General features: G+C 42.8%; 2 long non-coding RNA genes across 2 annotated transcripts, besides 1 other annotated feature; one reads left to right on the top strand and one right to left on the bottom strand.

Moving 5' to 3' along the window:
* Positions 1–773: 773 nt before the first annotated feature.
* Positions 774–12,274, top strand: LINC02087 (long intergenic non-protein coding RNA 2087). Its single transcript, NR_110839.1, has 3 exons — positions 774–988; positions 2,474–2,551; positions 11,618–12,274. It is a non-coding gene; the product is annotated as a long intergenic non-protein coding RNA 2087 (long non-coding RNA).
* Positions 4,831–5,393: an enhancer, noted in NCBI's record as "NANOG hESC enhancer chr17:15716437-15716999 (GRCh37/hg19 assembly coordinates)". NCBI's record gives its function as "activates a minimal SCP1, AML or CMV promoter by ChIP-STARR-seq in naive H9 embryonic stem cells {active_cell/tissue: H9 hESC(naive)}" and the evidence as "EXISTENCE:reporter gene assay evidence [ECO:0000049][PMID:30033119]".
* An 11,674-nt stretch (positions 12,275–23,948) lies between the features above and the next one.
* LOC124903935 (uncharacterized) lies at positions 23,949–26,713 on the bottom strand. The gene is made up of 2 exons (XR_007065640.1): positions 25,471–26,713; positions 23,949–24,578 (listed from the first exon to the last, which is right to left on the bottom strand). It is a non-coding gene; the product is annotated as an uncharacterized LOC124903935 (long non-coding RNA).

Genomic DNA, 26,799 nt, shown 5'->3' with positions numbered 1-26,799 from the left:
CAGAAAAGCCAGCACTGAAAATGAAGACAAAGACGCAAAGGCCAATAAATATTCACAAAACTTCGCTTCACTAACTTATTTCCAGTTCCAGATGACAGAAGGCCCTCAGGGACCCAGAAGGCAGGACCACAGGGAGGTGACAGCGCCAGCAGCAGGAGGGCAGGCCTCTGCCTTGTCCCAAGCGGGGCCACAGCTCCTGGCGGGCTGCGGGGGCCGGGAAGCCAGAGCAGCCTGGCGCTCCTGGCCCCTGCACACGCTTCCCTCCCTCCACCCCGTTCCTCTCTCTCTCTCTGTGCCTTGGGCCCCGTGGGATGCGCTCACATCCAGACTCACCAGGCCCGAGACATTGGGAGAATGGAGAAGTGCTTGCGAGCCGAAAGTCCTCCAGGAACACGTGAAGGACGCTTCCTCTGCACCTGGGACACCCTTCCCTGATGTTGGCCTCAAGGCAGGCGCGCCGCACACGCTTCCGGTCCATGACGACCACAGCGCAGAGAAGCACGCGAGCCCAACCTCCACGAAAAGAAAATGGCAGAATGGGCCTTCGCCTCCCTTTTACAGTGGCTGTACGCAACTGCTGTACTTGTAAGCTTGGTTCTGATTGGGTGAGAAGGAACTTTTTTTGACAACTCTTATTGGATAATAGTCTCCATCTCTGACTGGATAATCTTCACTAATCGGAGTTGGAGACTTATCCAATCTGTGTTGTAGTACAGAGTCTGCTCTCATCCTATCAGAAAGAGGCTTCCAGGATATGTCATTTGAATACAGTCATTGTGAAAGGGAGGCAAAGATCTGCACCTGCCATGGCGGTTGGGCTCACGTGCTCCTCTGCATTGGAGTTAGCCAAGGAGCGTGTGCAGAACACTTGCCTCGTAGGCCAGCCGTAAGGAAGGATGTCCCAGGTGCAGGCGAGGTTTTGTTCATGTGTTCCTGGAGGATTTTTCCGGTGGCAAGTGCTTCTCCATCCTCCAGCATCTCAGGCCTGGTGAGTCTGGATGTGACCGCTTCCTATGGGGCCCCCAGGCACAGAAAGATGCAAAGGAGGGTGGATGGAAGGGGAACGTGGGCAGGGCCCAGAGAGCATCAGGTTGACTGTTTCACCAGGCACCCCTGCTCCGGTGCAAGGCAGAAGCCGGCCAGACGCCCACCCAGCGCCCCTCCTGGGCTCTGGCCCTGGCACCTAGACCCATCCCGCCATTCTCCGCAGCTCCACTGCCCGCAGGCAGGAGCTGCCGGCGTGGAATCTGCGGGCTGCAGTGAGCAGTGGAGGCAGTAGCCGCTGCTCCCTGGATTCCCGGGATGTTTTTCTTTGGCTTTTTTCTTTTTCTATTTTATTTTAGATTCAGAAGGTACACGTGCTTGTTTGTTATATGTATATCACATGCACAATGGGGGGGGGTGTGCTTCTAGCATACCCATCACCCAAATATTGGAGGTTGTACCCAGTAGGTACGTTTTCAACTCTTCCCCCCAACTTTTTGAGTCCCCATAGTGTATTCTCTCCATCTTCATGAGAACATGCAGTATTTGGCTGTTTCTGCATTCACGTAGGATAATGACCTTCAGCTGCATCTGTGTTGCTGCAAAGGACATGATTTTGTTCTTTTTTATGACTGCCTAGTACTTTGTGGTGTATATGCACCACATTTTCTTTATTTAATGAACCGTTGGTGGATACTTACCTTGGTTCCATGACCTTGCTGTTGTAAGTTATGCTGCGATAAACATGGGAGTGCAGTGCCTTTTTATATAATGATTTCTTTCCCTTTGGGTAGATACCCAGTAGTGGGATTGCTGGGTCGAAAGGTAGTTGTACTTTTAGTTCTTTGAGATACCTCCCTACTTTTTCCATAGAAGTTGAACTAATTGACATACCCACCAACAATGTATGAGCATTCCCATGTCTGGAAGAGTTTTCCCAGGTTTTCTCCCAGGATCTTTATAGTTTTAGGTCTTACATTTAGGCCTTTAATCCATCTTGAGTTAATTTTTGTACAGGTGAGTGAGAGGGGTCCAGTTTCATTCTTAGCATATGGTCAGCCACTATTCCCAGAACCACTTAGTGAATAGGGTGTCCTTTCCACGTTAAGTGTTTTGAAGAGCCATTGGCTGATTTTTTTCCTAGCATTATTTCTTGAGCAAAATCCTTCAGTAGAATGTTGATGAAAGTGGTCAAAGTGATTATTTATGTATTGTTTCCAATCTTATGGAGTAAACATTCTTTACCCACTAACTTAGTTGAGGATGTTTATCGTAGGTTTTCTTAGATGCACTTGACCAGATTGTGGAAGTACTCTTCAATTTCTAGTTTGGTTAGGGTTTTAATCATATGATGGATTTAGCCAAATGCTTTTTTTTCCTGTGTCAATCAGATTATCACATCCAAGTCTGGTGGTCAAACCTGTAGACGTGTATAGTCTTATTACACACTGGATAATGGGTCATTCTTATCTCTGCTTTGCCCATGCAGTGCACCAGCCTTCCTGTGCCCGTTGATGGACTGAGAGGAAGATGAGCCCTTAGGATGCCTGCCATGCTCAGTGTTAAGGTAGGACTCATCCTTCTCCCTTGAGCACCAGTGTTTCTCCTGCCCATTTCTCAGTGACCATTTCCTATCATTGGCCTGGACATTCTGGCACTTCAGTTCCCCAACTGAGGGTCTCACCCCACCAAGTTCTTTGCACGGAAGTAGGTCATGCCTACTGGGAACTTTTACAGCTCCCCAGACTCCTCCAGGTGGTCAGTACTTCATAATATCACCCAAGCAAGGCACAGAGGGGATCTGCCCAGTTAATAGAGCTTGTGTTCTGAAACCCACCATCTCACCTTTTAACTCACCAATGGCCCTTTCTCAAGGCCAGGGAAAGGAATGAAGGCTCATTGCTAAAAACCGCAACCTCAACAAGGCTGTACTTCCTTTTAGAGTCCCCTTACCCAGCATTGTCATTGTCTTTGAAGAAGTTCAGAATGCTTCTCCCTCTTGGTTTTGTTACTGACCTGGCAAACATGTTATATTGTGTCTATTTGTGAAGAAGATCAGGTGCAGTTCACCTTCAGATTTGAAGGCTGACAGTACACCGTTAGGAGGCATCTGATGGACTACCTCAACAATCCTCTGCTGGCTCAAGGTTGCATTGACTAGATCTAGCTACCCTCTGACTGCCACCTGATGTCCACTTGTGGCACTATGTGGATAATGTCCTTCTGCCTGATAACAAAGAGGGAGAGGTTCAATGGGCCCTCATATTGACAACTAACCACACAACTCAATGGGAATGAGCCATTGTCCCACATGATACAACAGCCTGCCATTTCCATCAAATTGTGGGGCTATATTTACTTATTTTTTTGGATGTAAAATGTTAGTTTTACAGGAAGAATGGAATTTAAAATGGCATTCTTTAAATGTGGAGTATCCAAGTTCAACAGTCTGTACTCATTGATTTCTTCCAAAAACAGAAAAATTTAAGGGGCAGGCCTGAACAAGTCACTAATTACTTAAAGCTATATGGTTTGCAAATGTTTTGCTCTTATTTCAGTACAGTTTCATATAATGAGATGGGATTTTTCCAAAACTGATACACTATAAATCTCAGTGGACATGCTAGTATCCTTTCAATAAATTTGCATTTCAATAATATGGACAATATCCATGTATTATATACAGAAGGCTAAGAAACAGAAGAAATTGCCAGACTATATTATTCAAAACATCAAGAAACTGATGTCTGACTAATGTATTCAATCCTTGTTCTGGAGATCAACATTGTGAATGCATGAATTTCTAAGGGAAAATTTTAAAATTATAATTTACTCATAAATTTTGATGTTGAGAAAATTAGTTTTTGGAATACATCTTTGATTTTTGTCACATAATAGAAGAAAAATTTCCAGTGTACTAAACAGCATATGACATTATTTATGGCAAAACAAAATGATTCTAATTGATGTTTCCTTTAAAAAATCTAAAGAGTACTCATCCCTTGACCTTTCTGAATTCCCAAATATACTCCCTTAAATTAATAAAATTGAAAATGTAATTGTATCAGGAAAGAACTATTGTATTCTTATATTCTTTTCAACACTGTTAAGCTATTGTTACTTTTTTTAAATTTTAGTAGGTTTTTGGGGAACAGGTGGTGTTTGGTTACATGAATAAGTTCTTTAGTGGTGATTTCTGAGATTTTGGTGCACCCATCACCCGAAGAGTCTATACTGTATTCAATGTGTGGTAGTCTTTTATCCCTCACCCTGCTCCCACCCTTTCCCCATCGAGTCCAGATTGTGAGGCTATATTTAGAGTAAGGCAGGCAGACAAAATCTACAACCAGTCGGCCTCAGGCTCTTCACCCTCCTCAGGCCACATTGAGTTTAACCCTTAGGCCACCCTTATCACTGTTTCTACAGCCTGTGCCTCCTAGAGACACTTGGCATCTCAGTTGTGCTTTGCAGCCATTAGAGATGGATAGGACCCAAAATGGTTGATTGAGCCACCTCCAAGATCAAGTTTTTGTGCCTATGACATCACCTCCAACACACACAGTGTGTTTAGACCTTACTGCTTAGTTCTGAGTCCTCTTGGTCCTGTCCCATTCTAGCCTGCCATTGCTCACAATGCAGCAACTCCAAGCCTACTACCACCCAGACCTTTCAACTCCTTTTACATCCCCTTGGAACCATTTTTCCAAGCCTCAGTGTGCCGTGGCTTTTGCTGTCCCAGGTTTCCCAAAGTCCCTCACATAATTGTGTCTTCTGCAGGCCTATTCACCAATTACTCGGCACTCAGGTCATGGACAGTTTTCATCACAGGGTCATTTCAGACACCACCCAGTAGCCGGCCTTTTAGCTCACCAGTCATGCCTTTGCTGACATCCTGCCACCTTACGGTCAGACCCTGGTTATGACTCATTCGCTGCTCTTCCCTCACCATTGGTGAGTCTGCCTCAAGTCTGCAGCTGCACCTCACTCGCAGTATCTCCTCTAATAGGTCAGCCGCCAATGGACCTACTATGCCCTCTCTGCTGATGGTGCAGTTCAGTTCCCAGCAACCGTTTCAAGGATGCCACTGATTTCTGTCTTACCATCACAATATGCCCCCCTATGAGAGACCTTCACACTCTTTCTAATTTTAATTTATCTTGTGTTGTCTTCTTTGACCCATACTTTACTTACAAGCATATGTTTCAAATCTCCATGTATCTTGGGATTTTCCAGATCTTTCTGTTAACTGATTTCTAGTTTGATTCCATTGGGTATGAAAACATAGAACATATGTAATGTGATTTCTAATTTTTTTGCATTGTTCAATGTATATTTTATGGCATAGAATGTGGTGTATCCTGGTAAACCTTCCCTTATTCTGTTGCTGGGTGGAAGTATTCTATAGACATCTATTATATTCAGTTGATTAATCATGCTGGGGGAGTTCAACTAGGACAGTCCTGATTTTTCTGTCTGCCATGTCTGTCTATTACTGATAGAGGGTATTAAAATCTTCAACTAAAATACTGGATGTATCTAGTTCTCTTTGCAGTTCTATCAGTTTTTGCCTTGTGTTTTGATGCTCTGTCATTGGGCATATACATTGAGGCATATATATGTACATTGATATCACTGATTGAAAAATTGACCCTTTTAAAATTAACAAATGTTCCTGTTTATCCCTGATGAATTTCCTTGTTCTAAAGCCCCCTCTGTCTCAAAACAAGCTTCTTTAAAATTAGTCTTAGTATAGTATACGTTTCCGTATACCTTTACTTTTAAACTATATGTGTATTTATATTTAAAGAGTGTTTCTTGAAGATGACATACAGTTGCATTTTGTTTTTTGATTCACTCTACATCTGTCTTTTAATAGATGAATTTAGACCATTGATTAGTTATTGGCATAACTAGATTAATATCAACCATATTTGTTAACTGTTTTCTATTCATTGCACCTGTTCTTTGTTTCTATTTTTCCTTCTATTATTTATCTGCCTTTTACAAAATGAGTTTATGGAAGAATGATTGACTTACAAAAAGCAGTAAATATTTAATATGTAAGTTGGATAGTTTTGGATAGTTACAGTCTATTCTGTAAACATATCCAATAACTCCAAAATTTTCCCCAGTGCTCTTATTTATATTTTATGTGATAAAAACACAACACAAAATACACCTCTAGGCAAGTTTTGTTTTGTCTTGTTTTGTTTTGTGTTGTTTTTTTTTTTAGACAGAGTCTTGCTCTGTTGCCAGGCTAGAGTGCAGTGGTGCGCACTTGGCTCACTGCAACCTCCGCCTCCTGGGTTCAAATGATTTTCCTGCCTCTGCCTCCTGAGTAGCTGGGACTACAGGCATGTGCCACCACACCCAGCTAATTTTTTGTATCTTTAGTAGAGACGGAGTTTCACCATGTCGGCTAGGATGGCCTCAATCTCTTGACCTCATGTTCTGCCTGCCTCAGCCTCCCAAAGTGCTGGGATTACAGGCATGAGCCACCGCACCCAGCCCCAAGTTTTTTAAGTATAAAGTACTGTAAAATTTACTGTAGGACCTATGTTGTATAATAGATCTCTAGGACTTATTCTTCTTGCACGGATAAAATTTTGCACCATTTTTTCATTTTCTTTTTACAGCTTTATTGAGATATAGTTGACAAACCTTATGTGTATTTAAAGTATACAACTTCATTTCTGCTTTATTTATTTTTCCTCTAATCTTTTTATTTATTTCCTTCTACTAAGTCTAAGGTGAGTGTTGTTGACAACATATCGTTGGATCTTGGTTTTCTATCCTTTTGGACAATCTGTATCTTTGGATTGATGCATTTGATCTATTTGCATGTAAAGTGATTATACTTAAGACTTACTATTGCCACTTGGTTAATGATGTTCTGTTCAGCAATTGTTTTTTTTGTTCCTCACTTTCTGCTTTCTATCTTCCTTTGTGATTTGATTTTTTGTTTTTAGTGATTATATAGATTAATTTCTCTTTCTTTTATGTATCTAGTGAAAGTTTTTCTTTTTTTCTCTTTTTTTTTTCTTTTTTCTTTGAGACAGAGTCTTGCTCTGTCACCCAGGCTGGAGTGCAGTGGTACAATCTCGGCTCACTGCAACATCTGCCTCCTGGGTTCAAGCAATTCTCTGCCTCAGCCTCCTGAGTAGCTGGGATTACAGGTGCCCACCACCACGCCCAGTTAATTTTTGTATTTTTAGTAGAGACAAGGTTTCACCATCTTGGCCAGGCTGGTCTTGAACTCCTGACCTCGTGGTCCACCTGCCTCAGCCTCCCAACGTGCTGGGATTACAGGCATGAGCCACTGTGCCCAGCCGAAAGTTTTTCTTTATGGTTACCATGAGGCTTGCATAAAAGTTCTTATACTTCATAGTCATCAGTTTTCAGTGGACAACCACTTAACTTTAATCACATAGAAACACTCTATACTTGGTCAGATGTGGTGGCTCATGCCTGTAATCCCAGCACTTTGGGAGGCTGAGGCGGGTGGATCACCTGAGGTCGGGAGTTTGAGACCAGCCTGACCAACATAGTGAAACCACGTCTCTACTAAAAATGCAAAAATTATCTGGGTGTGGTGGCACACGCCTGTAACCCCAGCTACTTGGGAGGCTGAGGCAGGAGAATTGCTTAAACCTGGGAGGCAGAGGTTGCGGTGAGCTGAGATCAAGCCATTGCACTCCAGCCTGGGCAATAATAGCGTAATTCTGTCTCAAAAAAAAAAACATATATATATATATATATATATATATATATATATATATATATATACACACACACATGTATATATATATGTGTGTGTGTGTGTGTGTGTGTGTGTGTGTGTATATATGTATATCTATTTACATGCAAGAATAGCCAAGGCAATTCGTAAATGGAGTAGTAATAAGAATTTTTCATTCCCTTAGTTAAGAAAATACATTATATGTTTCTAAGTCAACGCCTAATAATTTATGTGACCATGAGTAAGTTACTTCACATCCTGAGCCTCCTTTTCTTGGATTACAAAATGAGGAGTGGAGGAGTGATCCAGGGTCACCTGTAGGTTCAACCATATGAAGTCACCTGTACTCAACCGACTTGATTTACACCACAGAAATTTCATGTGGTTCAACTTAGTAGGTGATCACTAATTCCAAAATGAATGTCAATGTAGCTTAACATTCATTATCAGTAGCTATATTCACTTTTTAAAATGTTGTAAAATTTTCCTCATGCTAATATTGCATGAGAATACAAATTTAGCAAAAGAGTCATGCTATAATATCTTGAAGGAAGGAAATCCAGGAGGCTTGCATAGTGGCCAACTTAGCTAAGTTTAAATATTATGGAAGAGCTAAATTTTGAAAAAGATTCAAGAGTCAGGGAACTTGCCCAGGAGTAGCTTTGAGCATAAAAAAAGAAAAATAGGCAATAAAAATACCAAACAAAGCCTCACCCACCCCAGCCACAGATGCAGAGTCAGCCACCTGAGTAGCTGGGATTACAGGCACCCGTCACCATGCCCAGCTAATTTTTGCATTTTTAGTAGAGATGGGGTTTTGCCATGTTGGCCAGGCTGGTCTCAAACTCCTGACCTCAGGCAATCCACCCGCCTTGGCCTCCTGAAGTGCTGGGATTATAGGCGTGAGCCACCGTGCCCAGCCAGAGTCCCCTACCACTTAAAGGTGTCCACCCTCTGTTCACACAGCAGATGAATGGTGGTCCAAGGTTGGAACCTACTCCATCTGGCCACAGTCTACATTATCACCTGCCTGCTGCCTTGCCCTCCTGCTTTCTTCCATTTGCTAGCTCCTGAAATGGGACCCTGTCCTAACCTGACACCCAGGCATTCAGGGGACCCTGTCCAAACCTGACACCCAAGCATTCAAGTCACTGTGAACTAGAGAGCAGAGGTGAGGCCATATTTCCAAAGAGCCACTGGTAAGTTACATGCATAGGTTAAGAGGGGTGTCCTGTGATTGTCACTGACCTTTGTCCACCAGCACATAAGTTCAGAGCTCCAGCCATGTTCACTGGGCCTCCATGCAAAGAGCCTGGACTCGAGGAGCAAGGGTGGGGCAGAGGAGATGCCCTGTCCAGCAAGACTTCCCTGGAGCTCTGCTAGAAATGTCATCCTTCAGGTTCTGCCGGCCAAAGGCCAAGGATCAAACCAAGGCCCAGTCTGCAGCTCCAGCTTCAGTTCTAGCTCAGGCTTCCAAAGGTGTCCAGGCCCCCACGAAGCCTTCAGAGTAGAGGTCTCTGTCAATCTGAGAACAGAAGGACTGGTGTGACCCCTGGGCTGCTATATGCGTGGGGGTGGTGTCCTCCTGTGCTATTTGTACAAATAAACCTGAGGCAGGATTTAAAAAAAAAAGAAAAACCATCCTACAGAACCTCTGACTGCTGGAATCCCTGGGCAATGCCCAAGCAGGTATCACAAAGGCATTTGGAATGAGAGAGAAGAAATCAGCCTTCTTTCCTAAATGTTGCCTACAGCGTGCCATGCTGATCTACATCTCACCAAAGAATTCCTTTCCAGTAAGATTTTTCTTTAAAGCTTTGAGTCAGAGGATAATCTTCAAGGACTTGTCTAGCAACAATAACAACCACTGTGCATCCTAAAGCTGTAGAGAAACTCAATGTGTGTGTATTCCAAGGTTTAACTTTAGGAAGTAGCTGAGCTGGCATAGACCTGATTCCTTCAGTGTTGAGGCACCTGTGGCATCTTTAGCAGGTTGGTTGTTCAAGATAACCTGGAGATTACTGTGAGCTTCTTTGAGTAATTGGTAAGTATACTTATTTTAAGGGACACATGACGCTTGGAGGCTCTGATGACCAGGCCAGGATGTTCTCCAGAGGTGACGAGAAGTGTTCTGATAAGAAAACACATCGGTTTCTAAAGCAGCCCTCAGTCCGTAGGAGAAGCATGTGCCCCAGCCTGTGATCCTGACAGAAACTAGATGGCCATGAGGAGCGGCCTTGAACACATGTTCTTGTCACGGCTTCATCCAGCACCTTCTGTTGACCCACTAGGCCTTGGCTCATCCTGGGTCCCTCTGTCGTTAGCTCTGCAGATCCCCTAAGCTCCTCCCTCCCCAGCCTCTCTTCCCTCTGGGCCCATTTTCAGAGGCCCACATTGACCACTTTCCGTGAGACTTTTCCTGAGGGTCATCTTTTTGTGACCCTAATCCAGGGCTGAGCGATGCCCGCTATATGACTCACCAAATGACCAGTTTCTACTGGGTTGTGTCCTCACAGCCCCGCATTCCTGACGAGCACCTGGCCGAGGCTGCTGGCAAATGCCAGGCACCAGTCATTAGGAGCCTTGGGGCCACCCCAGGGCAGCCTCCCAAGCCCACCCCTTCCTAGGAGAGACTCTTGAGCAGGGAGGCAGGGCTCCCTCTGAGGAAGGAGGACACGCTCATACTCTGGCCTCAGGCTAGGGAAGGACACAGGTTCTGAGACGCAGGAAGCCTCTGCAGCAGAGTCATTGTCACTGCAAAATCACCACCACTTTGATTTAATCATAGCTGTTTAGAAAAGGAGAAACAAAAAAAGGACAAAACCTGAATGTACACCAAGAGATAAATGTGCTACTGTACCACCTCCAAATAATTGGTTAAATTCCAAATGACATGGTCTCTATATTAACGTATTCTTGATTGTGAATTACCTTCCAATTAGATCTGTATGTAAAATGGAGCTGTAAAGATTCCCACTCTTGGCCGAGCGCAGTGGCTTCTGCCTGTAATCCCAGCACTTTGAGAGGCTGAGGTGGGTGGATCACGAGGTCAAGAGATTGAGACCATCCTGGCCAAGATGGTGAAACCCCGTCTCTACTAAAAGTACAAAAATTAGCCAGGCATGGTAGTATGCACCTGTAGTCCCAGCTATTCGGGAGGCTGAGGCAGGAGAATCATTTGAACCCGGGAGGCGGAGGTTGCAGTGAGCCGAGATCACACCATTGCACTCCAGCCTGGCCACAGAGCGAGACTCTGTCTCGAAAAAAAAAGATTCCCACTCTAGGAGTGGCATACATCTACAGATTTCCAAAGCAAGTCTCCCTGCCCTGACTCCTGCAAGCCTCTCCTCCTGTCCCAGGCCCCAGGCCCCAGGCCCCCACCAGGTCCTCTTCACACAGAACAAGTTGCTATTGTCTCTCCCTCCTTAAAAAACTCCCTTAACCCCACGTTGCCTGGAGCCAGTCTCTGCTCCATATTTTGATATTCAAGGCCCCTTACAATGTGGCCCAGCCCACCTCCCAAGACTCAGCTCTCTGCAGCTCTCTGTAGTTTCCTAAAATACAAGTTCCATCCTGTTGCACTGCCCTGTAAGCTCACAGTGTCCTTCCGTGCCTCTGTGCCCTGCATGGAGGTTTGTTCTGCCCGAAATGCCCCATCCCCTCGGGGCAACTGTTTAAATCTCTGATCGCTAATGTGGCACATCTGCAGTCTTGCCCTCTGTGGAGCAGTGCCTGACCTCACAGTAAACTCCTCCACTTTGTCCTCCCTGTTCTGATGGTGTTTCTGTGTGGACCCAGGTGCAGCCCAGGCTCTGCACTGTGCTTGTTCTCATGCCTGCAGTTGGCACCAGATATTCTGCAGACTCATTGATTCCTTTCTCTTTTATCTCCCAGGGTTTTCAAAAGAAATGCAGGCAGCATGGTGCACTACAGACTCCAGCCTCCCTTTGAAGCCAGGTTCCAGAGCTTCCTCCCTTTGGCCTGGAACCTCAACAGCAGGATTGGGATGAGGATGGAAGTGTACAGATATGCATATAGTATTGCTTATCCCCAGCTGAAATCAATGTTGGCATGACATGTTGCAAAACCAAACTGACATTGAACATGACTTTTTTCAGCCCTTTAAATAGCTGTTCATGTAGAACTTAGTTTTTTATGGAAGACCTTGATAATCCTGTCTTTAGTTACTTTAGAAGTTAACTTCCTGGGTGGACTTGAATTGAGTCTTATTCATCTTTAAATTTCCAGGGTTTAGCAAAGTACCTGCTTCAGAGTAGGTGTTAATAAAGCTAATGCCCTTCAAATCAACAAGAGGATTTCCTGTGAGGGGTGGTCCTGTTTTCTGACACTCAGATGGCTCTGAGTGTGGCATCTCAGAAAAAAGAAAGAAAGAAAAAAAAAAAGATTGGGCTGGGCGCGGTGGCTCACGCCTGTAATCCCAGCACTTTGGGAGGCTGAGGCAGGTGGATCACAAGGTCAGGAGATCGAGACCATCCTGGCTAACACAGTGAAACCCTGTCTCTACTAAAAATAAAAAAAATTTATCCTGGCATTGTGGCGTACGCTTGTAGTTCCAGCTACTTGGGAGGCTGAGGCAGGAGAATGGTGTGAACCTGGGAGACGGAGCTTGCAGTGAGCCGAGATCACACCACTGCACTCCAGCCTGGGCAACAGAGTGAGACTCCATCTCAAAAAAAAAAAAAAAAAGCCGGGCACGGTAGCTCACGCCTGTAATCCCAGCACTTTGGGAGGCCGAGGAGGGCGGATCACGAGGTCAGGAGATCAAGACCATCCTGGCTAACGCGGTGAAACCCCGTCTCTACTAAAAATACAAAAAATTAGCCAGGCATGGTGGCGGGTGCCTGTAGTCCTAGCTACTTGGGAGGCTGAGGCAGGAGAATGGTGTGAACCCAGGAGGCGGAGCTTGCAGTGAGCCAAGATCGTGCCACTGCACTCCAGCCTGGGTGACACAGTGAGACTCCATCTCAAAAAAAAAAAAAAATTGGCTGCTTCAGTGGAAAAAAATAGGTTTTATTTAACAGCATCAATACATGTTAATATTTATAAACCTGTTATTCTGTAAAAATAAAGAATATGTATTTTGAAATGTTTAGGGAGCATATGGAGAAAAAAGAGGCTACATATAGAACCTCCTTCTATTCAGTACTGGGCCTGCTCTGAGTAGATTTGAGTTTAGAAAATGCATTAACGGGAAGATAACAACATGGGAGGAAAGTGGAAGTAGTCACCTTCCCTGATGAAGGAAAACCTGGAAATACTGATGTTTAGTCATATGAGAGAATGCTGCTCCTTGTTATCTACTCCCAGTGTGGAAAACACAGAAAATAGTCAAGCTAATTAGAAAAAGCAGTAGCTCAGGTCGGGCGTGGTGGCTAATGCCTGTAATCCCAGCATTTTGGGAGGCCAAGGCGAGTGTATTACTTGAGGTTAGGAGTTCAAGACCAGCCTGGCCAACATGGTGAAACTTCATCTCTACTAAAAATAAAAAGCTGGGCGTGGTGGTGCGCACTTGTAATCCCAGCTCCTCAGGAAGCTGAGGTAGGAGAATTGCTTGAACTTAGGAGGTGGAGGTTACAGTAAGCCGAGATTGTGTGCCACTGCACTCCAGCCTGGGCGACAGAGCGAGACTCCGCCAAAAAAAAAAAAAAGGAAATAAAAGAAAGGGAGATATAATAGGAAAGAAAGACAGAGAGAGAGAAGGAAGGAAGGAGGGAGGGAGGGAAGGAAGGAAGGAAGGAAGGAAGGAAGGAAGGAAAAGAAGCGAAGGGAAGCAAAGCAAAGAAAAGAAAAGAGAAAAGAACACTAGCTCAATTCGGTTCAATATCTGCTCATGGAACTTTTCCCCTGTGCAGGGCACCGTGCTGAGCAAGATGTGCGAAGCACGGTCCTGTGTCCAGGTGCTGAAGAGCTGGTGCAGGTGAGGGAAGATGTGGATTTATTTGTAGCCAAATTGGAGAATGAGATTCTCATTCTCAGTTTATTCAAACATATGAATAGAGGATATATTTTGATCTAAGAATAAATGGGATACATTTCTCTAAACTTTAATAGCCTTAAGCTTTTTATTTGATGTTAAGTAGGAAAGTATTATTAGTAATCCTAGAATCATATGAAACACAGCATCCTCTCATACTTTTCGATATGAGATCCTATTTTAATACTATTTTATTTTTTCTAATTCCTGTTAAAGTTATTATGCAATTAGTCACTGATTTATTTTTAATCACTTCCCAAATTAAACTTGCTAGCAAACTATTCATCTAAAAGAGTGTAACTAAGAATTTGTTGAAAGAAAATGTTGAGACACATGAATACACATTTAATAAGGTACAGCAGAACCAGCATAGTTGGATTACATAGCAATAACTAAATTAGGTTAAAGATATGTAACTTTCATGCATTTAAAATGCTATTTTTTTTTTTTTTTGAGACGGAGTCTCGCTCTGTCTCCCAGGCTGGAGTGCAGTGGTGCAATCTCGGCTCACTGCAAGCTCTGCATCCCGAGTTCATGCCATTCTCCTGCCTCGGCCTCCCAAGTAGCTGGGACTACAGGCGCCCGCCACCACGCCCGGCTAATTTTTGTATTTTTAGTACAGACGGGGTTTCACAGTGTTAGCCAGGATGGTCTCGATCTCCTGACCACGTGATCTGCCTGCCTCGGCCTCCCAAAGTGCTGGGATTACAGGCGTGAGCCACCGCGCCCAGCCTTAAAATGCTATTTTTTTTTTTTTTTTTTTGAGACAGAGTCTCGCTCTGTCACCCAGGCTGGAGTGCTGTGGCGCAATCTCGGCTCACTGCAGGCTCCGCCCCCCGGGTTCATGCCGTTCTCCTGCCTCAGCCTCCCGAGTAGCTGGGACTACCGGCACCTGCCACCTCGCCGGGCTAATTTTTTGTATTTTTAGTAGAGACGAGGTTTCACCATGTTAGCCAGGGGTCTTGATCTCCTGACTCGTGATCCACCCGCCTTGGCTTCCCAAAGTGCTGAGATTACAGGCGTGAGCCACCGCGCCCGGTTTAAAATGCTATTTTTAAATACCAGACATTGTTACCAGACTTTGTGCTTTTTTTTTTTCAATTACACTTTAAGTTCTAGGATACATGTGCAGAATGTGCAGGTTTGTTACATAGGTATATACATGCCATGGTGGTTTCCTGCACCCATCAACCCCTCATCTACATTAGGTATTTCTCCTAATGCTATCCCTCTCCTAGCCCCCCACTGTCAGGCCCCAGTGTGTGATGTTCCCCTCCCTGTGTCCATGTGTTCTCATTGTTCAACTCCCACCTATGAGTGAGAACATGCAGTGTTTGGTTTTCTGTTCCTGTGTTAGTTTGCTGAGAATGATGGTTTCCAGCTTCATCCATGTCCCTGCAAAGGACATGAACTCATCCTTTTTTATGGCTGCATAGTATTCCATGGTGTGTATGTGCCACATTTTCTTTATCCAGTCTATCATTGATTGTTACCAGACTTTGAAGCCTGAAATGACCTATGATGACTGAAAGACCTCAGAGTTGGACAATAGGACCAGTGACTAAGAACACAAAGGCATCTCTAACAAGTAACATTGTTGTCTCACAAGCACTTAAAATGTAACAAGTCCCAACTTGCTTTCTTCACCTGGCTCACACACCCCTAAGCCTACTCTTCCTTCCCTATTCCTTGTCTCTGTTAGTGGTTCTGTCATTCACCAGGAACTTACACTAGAGACTTGGGAGTCATCCTTGACACATCCAGTAAATAGCAAATTCTGAATACTTTATCTCCAAATTATACTCAACTGCATTTCCTTCTCTCTAGCTCTACTCACCCACTTAATGCAAAGCTGCACTCACCTCGCTTTCTGCAATTGCTTTCTTACTGTAGGTCTCCCTGTCTCTGAACTCAGTAGTACATTATGTTCTCCACATTGCTGCTAAGTTACCTTTGAAAAATGCAAATTAGATATAATTGGTTGCTTGTTTACAACATTCAGCAGCTTTCCATTGCTTCTAAGATAGCACACACTTCTCAGCAAGGTTCACCATCTCACCTCCTGACAGCCTTCGTTTCACCTCCTGCCTCCTCCCCACCAGGCCTTCTTTCAGTCCACTGAGCCACACTCTCTTCTCACCCTTTGCACGTGGGTTTACCTGCTGAAAATGCTTCTTCCCATTTTTTCCACCTGTATGTTTACATCCCACCATTCAAGTCTCTGCTTAAATATGACTCCTTGGAGATGCATTTCCTGACCTCTAGTCTCAATTTGGATTCTCCCTGTTGAGTTGCTGTTCAGTTGTGTCGGCTAACTTGAGGATTTCTTGAACCATGATTGGGCACTTTCTGATGCATATTTGTAAATGTTATGTGAAAGTAGATTGGTGTGTTAAGATTCCCTTGTTTCTTTTCATTCTTGCCTTCTGGACACTTTCAAGAAAGGCAAGCCTTTTTCTGCCTACTTCTTCCATTCTGAGCTGTAAATTGTCACTGTAGTTTCTAGGATTTTAGGATGTCTCCTGTGAAATACATTCCTTCCTCATAGAAGTAAGAAAGTGTGGAAGCACTGTCCGCTCAGTGAGGGCAGGGCCAGGCCTGTCCTGTTCACTGTTTTCTCCCAGCCTCCAGCACAGTGAGTGATACCCAGAAGGGGCTGCATCAATGTTAATGGAATGAAGCTGTGCTTGTGGAATGATTGGAATTGGGTCAAGCAGAGAGAAGATGGGGAAAATAGGATTTTAATAAAACAAACTATATTATTAATATCCTTGACAAAGCAGAATTTCAAGAAGACTGTCTATGTCAAAACCAATCTTTTATAGTATACACAGGAATATGTGGCCAGGAACAGAAATATTGATCTATTCTTTATATAATATATATTCCAATGAAAGCCATCAGTGGAGTGTACTGAATTACACAATATGGAGGTCCAAAAGAATAATTTATTATGTGAGGTTCTCAACAAAAGAGGGAATTCAACTTTCAGATCAAAGATGGCAAACTATCTGCCTGTGAGCGGTTCTCACCATGGCCACCTCAAAACAATCAGAGCCAGGCTCAGTAACCACAGCTAGAGGATTCTGCAGTGCATGGGGTGGCAAACACCTTCCACGAAGGGCAGCCAGCAAGTATTTTAGGTATTATCTTTTGTTTTCATGTCTGTTTTTTTAATAACCCTTTACAAATTAGCTCTCAGGGCTGTACAGCAACAGGTTTCAGAATGATGAGAATAATTTCAGATGAGCAGCCTAATACTCCATACGTCTAAAAAAATCATTCCTGAATTTTATCTGTTGTTTTTTAACCCCCCAAATTGAGCTTAAATTCATTGTCGCTTAAGATTTTAGTTAAACTACTAGGGCTATGGCAGGGTACATTTTTGAAGTGGTTTTGTTACATTTATGGTGCTTCCTATCTGTATTCTATTTTGGTCATTCTATAAGCTTAAATCTGTCAACACATTGAATATGCCTTATAAATATAATTTGATGTTGAGGATGTGGTTAATTGTTCTAGGTACAAGTGGTAGAAGCCACATTAGAGAGAAAGTCAAAGCATTAGGATAAAAGGTTTTAAGGCCATTATTTTGTGTCTCAGTTACCCAGCAAAAATTTTACTAGTCCATTTTGCCTGAAGGGAAAGTTTCAGAAAACATAATTTAGGTGCTTTAGAGCAGTGGTTCTCAAAAAATATAGTCACCAGACCAGTGCTTCAGCGATCTGGGTTTAGCAAACACATCAGGACCTCTCATGCAAAGAGGATTAGTGTAACCATTACCCAGCAGTAGTGGCAACAGGGGAGCCAAGGACAGAAACCTTTTGACCAAATTAGCCTTGGCAAACTCATTTGTGGAAAAGAAATTTCTTGTTAGCTACCTGCAAAAAATAAACCTTAATTATAATTCTGGCTTTCAGTGACATACATAGAGATACGCTATACTCCTAAAATGTGAAAATACTTAGATAAGACTTCATTTGAATTTGACAGAGTTATGTTTTTATCAGGCATGTTCATTTAATTATTCAATAAAATAATTTAGTTGACATGATTGTTAGTGTGCAGTGTTTGTGTATTATACACTGGGTATAAATCAAACTAATGAATTTGACAGAGATTGCTGCATAAAATGTGTTACTATGAGTTCTAAACACAAATATTGTACTGTAAATATTTTAATCTGAATGAATTACATGTTCATGTATTCATTAGCCATAACATGTTTTTTGAAATTAAAAAGGCAATATCATATTACTGGCTTGAAAGACCTCAGCTTCATATTTTATTGTTTTTTTTTCTTGCACCTAGATTGATTACACAAGTTTTTTGTTGGTGGTGGTGGTTTTTTTTTTTTTTTTTTTTTTTTTTGAGACAGAGTCTCGCTCTGTCGCCCAGGCTGGAGTGCAGTGGCGCAATCTCGGCTCACTGCAAGCTCCGCTTCCCGGGTTCACGCCATTCTCCTGCCTCAGCCTCCCGAGTAGCTGGGACTACAGGTGCCCGCCACCACGCCCGGCTAATTTTTTGTATTTTTAGTAGAGACGGGGTTTCATCGTGTTAGCCAGGATGGTCTCGATCTTCTGACCTCATGATCCGCCCACCTCGGCCTTCCAAAGTGCTGGGATTACAGGCGTGAGCCACCGCGCCCGGCCTTTTTTTTATTGAGATAGAGTCTCGCTCTGTTGCCAGCCTGGAGTGCACTGGTGTGATCTTGGCTCACCGCAACCTCCAACTCCCTGGTTCAAGCGATTCTCCTGCCTCAGCCTCTCGAGTAGGTGGGATTACAGGCATATGCCACAGACATGAATTTTTCTTTCTTTTTTTTTTTTTTTTTTTTTGAGACAGAGTCTCGCTTTTTCGCCCAGGCCGGACTGCAGTGGCGCTATCTCGGCTCACTGCAAGCTCCGCCTCCCGGGTTCATGTCATTCTCCTGCCTCAGCCTCTCTAGTAGCTGAGACTACAGGCGCCCGCCACTCCATCGGCTAATTTTTTGTATTTTTAGTAGAGACGGAGTTTCACAGTGTTAGCTAGGATGGTCTCGATCTCCGGACCTCGTGATCCGCCCGCCTCGGCCTCCCAAAGTGCTGGGATTACAGGCGTGAGCCACCGTGCCCGGCCTAGACATGTATTTTTAAAGGACAATTATAACTTTTTTTCAGCTTGTGAAATATGAAAAATGGCCGGGCGTGGCCGGGCGCGGTGGCTCACGCCTGTAATCCCAGCACTTTGTGAGGCCGAGGTGGGTGGATCATGAGGTCAGGAGATCACGACCATCCTGGCTAACACGGTGAAACCCAGTCTCTAGAAAAATACCAAAAAAAAAAAAAAAAAATTAGCCGGGCGTGGTGGCAGGCACCTGTACTCCCAGCTACTCGAGAGGCTGAGGCAGGAGAATGGCATGAACCGGGGAAGCAGAGCTTGCAGTGAGCCAAGATTGCCCCACTGCACTCCAACCTGGGCAGCAGAGTGAGACTCCGTCTCAAAAAAAAAAAAAAAAAGAAAGAAAGAAAAGAAAAGAAACGAAAAAAAAAATGGCCAGGCACAGTGGCTCAGACCTGTAATCCCAGCATTTTGGGAGGCTGAGGTGGGCGGATCACGAGGTTAGGAATTCGAGACCAGCCTGGCCAACAAGGTGGAACCCCGTCTCTACTAAAAATACAAAAATTAGCCGGGCGTGGTGGTGCATGCCTATAATCCCAGCTACTCAGGAGGCTGAGGCAGGAGAATCGCTTGGACCTGGGAGGCAGAGGTTGCAGTGAGCTGAGATAGCGTCATTGCACTCCAGCCTAGGCAACACAGCGAGACTCAGCCTCAAAAAAAAAAAAAAAAAAAAAAAAAAAAAGAAGAAAAGAAAAATATGAGCGATTTTTCCCGGATAATATGAATTCCTTTGTGCCTATATTCTGTCTGGAATTGGTTTGGACTGATCTTTTTATATTTATGATAAAATGCAACTTTTTAATATAGGCTAATGCAAGTGACCTTGACATTGAAAAGGTAGACATTATCAGAAAGTTCAGAGAAAAAGGCAGTGACCAGCTGCAGCAGAACTTCCTTCATAGGCTCTTGAGGCACATCACAAGATAGGTGTGCCTTTTCGTGCTGTGGCTCAGCCAAGATGCCGAGAAAAGAAACTTGCTCACTTACTGGAGACCCTGTCATATGAGTTTACAGCAGTATTTAGTGAACTGAGGGTGCCCATGTGGGATTTTTATGGCCAGACAAAAGCAGATTCAAGTGGGTGCTCAAGTGAAAATTGTTAAAAGTCAAACCAATGAGAGCAAAGACACAACATACCAGAATCTCTGGGACACATTTAAAGCAGTGTGTAGGGGGAAATTTATAGCACTAAATGCCCACAAGAGAAAGCAGGAAAGATCTAAAATTGTCACCCTAATGTCACAATTAAAAGAACTAGAGAAGCAAGAGCAAACACATTCAAAAGCTCGCAGAAGGCCAGAAATAACTAAGATCAGAGCAGAACTGAAGGAGATAGAGACACAAAAAACCCTTCGAAATGTCTATGAATCCAGGAGCTGGTTTTTTGAAAAGATCAACAAAATTGATAGACTGCTAACAAGACTAATAAAGAAGAAAAGAGGGAAGAACCAAATAGATGCAATAAAAAATGATAAAGGGGTTATCACCACCAATCCCACAGACATACAAACTACCATCAGAGAATACTATAAACACCTCTATGCAAATAAATTAGAAAATCTAGAAGAAATGGGTAAATTCCTGGACACATACACCCTTCCAAGACTAAACCAGGAAGAAATTGAATCCCTGAATAGACCAATAACAGGCTCTGAAATTGAGGCAATAATTAATAGCCTACCAACCAAAAAAAGTCCAGGACCAGACGGATTCACAGCCGAATTCTACCAGAGGTACAAGGAGGAGCTGGTACCATTCCTTCTGAAACTATTCCAATCAATAGAAAAAGAGGGAATCCTCCCTAACTCATTTTATGAGGCCAGCATCATCCTGATACCAAAGCCTGACAGAGACACAACAAAAAAAGAGAATTTTAGACCAATATCCCTGACGAACATCGACGCAAAAATCCTCACTAAAATACTGGCAAACCGAATCCAGCAGCACATCAAAAAGCTTATCCACCATGATCAAGTGGGCTTCATCCCTGGGATGCAAGGCTGGTTCAACATACGCAAATCAATAAACGTAATCCAGCATATAAACAGAACCAAAGACGAAAACCACATGATTATCTCAATAGATGCAGAAAAGGCCTTTGACAAAATTCAACAGCCCTTCATGCTAAAAACACTCAATAAATTAGGCATTGATGGGATGTATCTCAAAATAATAAGAGCTATTTATGACAAACCCACAGCCAATATCATACCGAATGGGCAAAAACTGGAAGCATTCCCTTTGAAAACTGGCACAAGACAGGGATGCCCTCTCTCACCACTCCTATTCAACATAGTGTTGGAGGTTCTGGCCGGGGCAATCAGGCAGGACAAAGAAATAAAGGGTATTCAATTAGGAAAAGAGGAAGTCAAATTGTCCCTGTTTGGAGGTGATGTGATTGTATATTTAGAAAACCCCATCGTCTCAGCCCAAAATCTCCTTAAGCTGATAAGCAACTTCAGCAGTCTTGGGATACAAAATCAATGTGCAAAAATCACAAGCATTCTTATACACCAATAGTAGACAAACAGAGAGCCAAATCATGAGTGAGCTCCCATTCACAATTGCTTCAAAGAGAATAAAATACCTAGGAATCCAACTTACAAGGGATGTGAAGGACCTCTTCAAGGAGAACTACGAACCACTGCTCAATGAAATAAAAGAGGACATAAACAAATGGAAGAACATTCCGTGCTCATGGATAGGAAGAATCAATATCGTGAAAATGGCCATACTGCCCAAGGTAATTTATAGATTCAATGCCATCCCCATCAAGCTACCAATGACTTTCTTCACAGAATTGGAAAAAAACTACTTTAAAGTTCATATAGAACCAAAAAAGGGCCTGCATTGCCAAGACAATCCTAAGCCAAAAGAACAAAGCCGGAGGCATCAAGCTACCTGACTTCAAACTATACTACAAGACTATAGTAACCAAAACAGCATGGTACTGGTACCAAAACACAGATATAGACCAATGGAAAGAACAGAGCCCTCAGAAATAATACCACACATCTACAACCATCTGATCTTTGACAAACCTGACAAAAACAAGAAATGGGGAAAGGATTCCCTATTTAAAAATGGTGCTGGGAAAACTGGCTGGCCATATGTAGAAAGCTGAAACTGGATCCCTTCCTTACACCTTATACAAAAATTAATTCAAGATGGATTAAAGACTTAAATGTCAGACCTAAAACCCTAACAACCCTAGAAGAAAACCTAGGCAATACCATTCAGGACATAGGCATGGCCAAGGACCTCATGTCTAAAACACCAAAAGCAATGGCAACAAAAGCCAAAATTGACAAATGGGTTCTAATTAAACTAAAGAGCTTCTGCACAGCAAAAGAAACTACTGTCAGAGTGAACAGGCAAACTACAGAACGGGAGAAAAATTTTGCAATCTACCCATCTGACAAAGGGCTAATATCCAAAATCTACAAAGAACTTAAACAAATTTACAAGAAAAAAATCAAACAACCCCATCAAAAAGTGGGCAAAGGATATGAACAGACACTTCCCAAAAGAAGACATTTATGCAGCCAACAGACACATGAAAAAATGCTCATCATCACTGGCCATCAGAGAAATGCAAATCAAAACCACAATGAGATACCATCTCACACCAGTTAGAGTGGCGATCATTAAAAAGTCAGGAAACAACAGGTGCTGGAGGGGATATGGAGAAATAGAAACACTTTTACACTGTTGGTGGGACTATAAACTAGTTCAACCATTGTGGAAGACAGTGTGGCAATTCCTCAAGGATCTAGAACTAGAAATACCATTTGACCAAGCCATCCCTTTAAGGGGTATATACCTAAAGGATTATAAATCATGCTGCTATAAAGACACATGCACACGTATGTTTATTGCGGCACTACTCACAATAGCAAAGACTTGGAACCAACCCAAATGTCCATCAATGATAGACTGGATTAAGAAAATGTGGCACATATACACCATGGAATACTATGCAGTCATAAAAAGGATGAGTTCATGTCCTTTGTAGGGACATGGATGAAGCTCGAAACCATCATTCTGAGCAAACTATCGCAAAGACAGAAAACCAAACACCACATGTTCTCACTCATAGGTGGGAAATGAACAATGAGAACACTTGGACACAGGGTGGGGAACACCACACACCGGGACCTGTCGTGGGGTGGGGGAGTGGGGAGGGATAGCATTAGGAGATATACCTAATGTAAATGAGTTAATGGGTGCAGCACACCAACATGGCTCATGTATACATATGTAACAAACCTGCACATTGTGCACATGTACCCTAGAACTTAAAGTATAATAAAATAAATAAATAAATAAAAATAAATAAATAAAAAGAAAAAATCTTTGAAGGTTTGGAAACAAACTGGATGGAGCAGATAAAGATGAGTGCTAATTTTGACTTCAACCTTAGTCAGTGGCAATAGATGGTCTATTACTCTAATTGTACCCTTTACCTCTTCTAGGACATTTAGAGAGGTCTCCAGGGGTAGTTACCTTGTTATTTCAATGCAGAGAACAGTAAGTACTTCAGGGAAAATACATGTGAGTATCAATCATGGGGATAATACTTGAGAGAGTAAAATGTGAATTTGTACATGAAAAAAAAAAATCAATACTGAGGCCGGGCGCGGTGCTCACGCCTGTAATCCTAGCACTTTGAGAGGCCGAGGCGGGTGGATGACGACGTCAGGAGAGTGAGACCATCCGGGCCAACATGGCGAAACCCCGTCTCTACTAAAACACAAAAAATTAGCCGGGCGTGGTGGTGCGGGCCTGTAGTCCCAACTCCTCGGGAGGCTGAGGCAGGGGAAGCGCTTGAATCCCGGAGACGGAGGTTGCAGTGAGTCGAGATTGCGCCATTGCACTCCAGCGTGGCAACAGAGCAAGACTGTCTCAAAAAATAAAAAAATAAAAAATCAATACTGAATCCCATGTGCTCCTATATTTCTCGTCTGTAATTTTAGTTTCCCTTCTAAACTGTAGGAACTCTGATGAAAGGAACTTTGCATGTTAAATGTATATGCTAGCGCAGTAGTGAACGCAAGGCAGGCCCTTAAATAAGTATTTCTTCTTTATTTTCAGTACCTTACACTAAATTCAGTGGTTGATATATATATATATATATATCCTGAAAAACAGAATTTTGTGAATCACAGGCAAACATGGTAGACTATAATTCATACAGTCTCAAATATGAAACTAAAAAAGTTCGATAATCATTTAAGCATTTTCTTTGTTTATATTTCTAATCACATCATGAGTTTCTAAATTTATCATTTTCACTGAATACAGAAGAAATGAAAAAATATTGTGTTTTGTACAACATATCTATGTACGAATATCTGTTGTAGAATTTATAAATAGACAAATGACAGGCAAAATGTATGCAAAATATTCTGGGCTGGGTGCAGTGGTGCACGCTTGTAATCCCAGCAATTTGGGAGACCAAGGCAGGGGAATTGCTTCAGCCCAGGACTTCGAGCCCAACCTGGGTAACATGGTGAAACCCTGTCTCAACAATAAATACAAAAAAATTACTCAGGCGTGTGCCTGTGGCACATGCCTGTAGTCCCAGCTGCTGGGGGGTGGGGGTCCCAAGGTGTGAGAATCCCTCGATCCTGGGAGGGTGATGCTGCAGTGAGGTGAGATCACGCCACTGCACTCCAGCCTGGGGGACAAAGTGAGACCCTGTAACAACAACAACAACACAAAATAATTTGAAAACAGAATTTCTTTCTTTTTCATGTTTTTTCTCTTGTATCTGGCATGCAGCTAATTTCTTTTTTATTGTATGTATTCATCGTGTACAACATGTTTTAAAGTATGTGTACATTGTGGAATGATTAAATCTAGCTAATTTACAAATGTATTACTGCACAGTTACCACTTTTGAGTGATAAGAAAAAGCGATTTGAGAACACCTAATATCCACTCTTGGCACTTTTTAAGAATGTGTCATAATTAACTATTATAGTCCCTATGCTGTACAAAAGATCTCTTGAACCAAAACTTCTTTCAAAAAAGGAAAACTACAATGGAATTTAGAACTACAAACAGACATAACTCATTAACCTTTCAGTTTTTATGTTAGATATAACACTACAGGGAAGTCATAATATTTATCACAACATTTAGGAAGCTTGCTTTTTTCTTATTTTTAAATTGCCTTTAATAGTAAGAATCATTTGTTTATTCTCAGATCTTAGATTCGAATTCTACATTTCTTTTCTTTTTTTTTTTGAGACAGAGTCTGGCTCTGTCGCCCAGGCTGGAGTGCAGTGGCTTGATCTCGGCTCACTGCAAGCTCCGCCTCCCGGGTTCACGCCATTCTCCTGCCTTATCCTCCCGAGTAGCTGGGACTACAGGCGCCCGCCACTACGCCCGGTTAATTTTTTGTATTTTTAGTAGAGACGGGGTTTCACAGTGTTAGCCAGGATGGTCTCGATCTCCTGACCTCATGATCCACCCACCTCGGCCTCCCAAAGTGCTGGGATTACAGGCGTGAGCCACCGCGCCCGGCCCGAATTCTACATTTCTTAAAGAGAAACACAAAGAGGAAAAGCATAAAAAAATTTCATACCTGATCCTTACAGTCTCGTCACTTCTGAGCAGGGAGGAAAACGTAGACTCAAATCAGGTGAAATGTGCTGATACATACAGAACAGGTTATATACATCATAACTGGATCCAGGCTGGGATGAACTGGAAAGTTCAAGCTTCTGATCTCCAAAAGATGATCTGGCAGATCCTGAAAGCAAATGTTTCTAAAGTTTAATAACATCCTATTCTTGGAGTTATTAGCCAACAGCTGGTACACCCAAGGCAAAAGAAAAAAATATTTTGTCTCAAGTAATGCTAAGTCACATGACTTTGATACCTAAAAACATCAGCACATACTTATGGAGTTCTGTGCGAAGGAGTATTATGCCAGGGATCAGCGATGAAGCCTGCACTTAAGACAGTTTGGTAAGTTTCTGGCATTTTTCTTTGCCCCATAGACATTTCTATATTTTGTGATCTGAGTTTCCTCTTATTTTTCTACTTATATATAGAACATCTTTCAAATTAAAACTTTTTTTGGAGATATATCCTTTTCAAGAAGACACAGAATATTTATTAAAATTTACCACATGTTGAGATACACTAAAAACCTCTCAAATTTAAAAGGACTGAAATCATACAAAGTATGTTTTCTTACTACAGAGCAATTAAGTTGGAAATCAAATTGCAAAAATACTTAATAAATGACATTTATATGGAAACACTAAAGACCAAGAATAACCAAAAACTTAATCTTTAAGAAGAAAAACAAGATTGAAAGATTTGCTCTACTGGATATTAATAGAATACTGGTAAGTAATAGAAAAAGAAATCAATGGCAAAGAAGAGAAGGCCCAGAAATAGACACCCATTTTATGAACACTTAATTTATAGTTAAGGTGGCACTGCACAAGAAAGGATGGTCTTTTCACTAAAAAGTGATAAGACAACTGGATATCAATATGGAAAAAAATAAGCCTTCGGCTGGGCACGGTGGCTCATGCCTGTAATCCCAGCACTTTGGGAGGCTGAGGCGGGCGGATCACGAGTTCAGGAGATCAAGACCATCCTGGCTAACACGGTGAAACCCCATCTCTACTAAAAATACAAAAAATTAGCCGGGCGTGGTGGCGGGCGCCTGTAGTCCCAGCTACTCGGGAGGCTGAGGCAGGAGAATGGCGTGAACCTGGGAGGCGGAACTTGGAGTGAGCCAAGATCACGCCACTGCACTCCAGCCTGGCACGACAGAGCGAGACTCCTTCTCAAAAAAAAAAAAAAAAAAAAAAAAGCCTTCATTCAACCAAACATATTCAGAAAAAATTAGTTCCATGGGCATTGTAGATCTAAATTAAATGTTAAAGGCAAGCCA

The sequence above is a fragment of the Homo sapiens genome, chromosome 17 (assembly GCF_000001405.40).
Source record: "Homo sapiens chromosome 17, GRCh38.p14 Primary Assembly".
Lineage (NCBI taxonomy): Eukaryota > Metazoa > Chordata > Mammalia > Primates > Hominidae > Homo > Homo sapiens.
The sequence above is the reverse complement of the archived record's forward strand: the minus strand, read 5'-3'. Positions and strand labels throughout refer to the sequence as shown.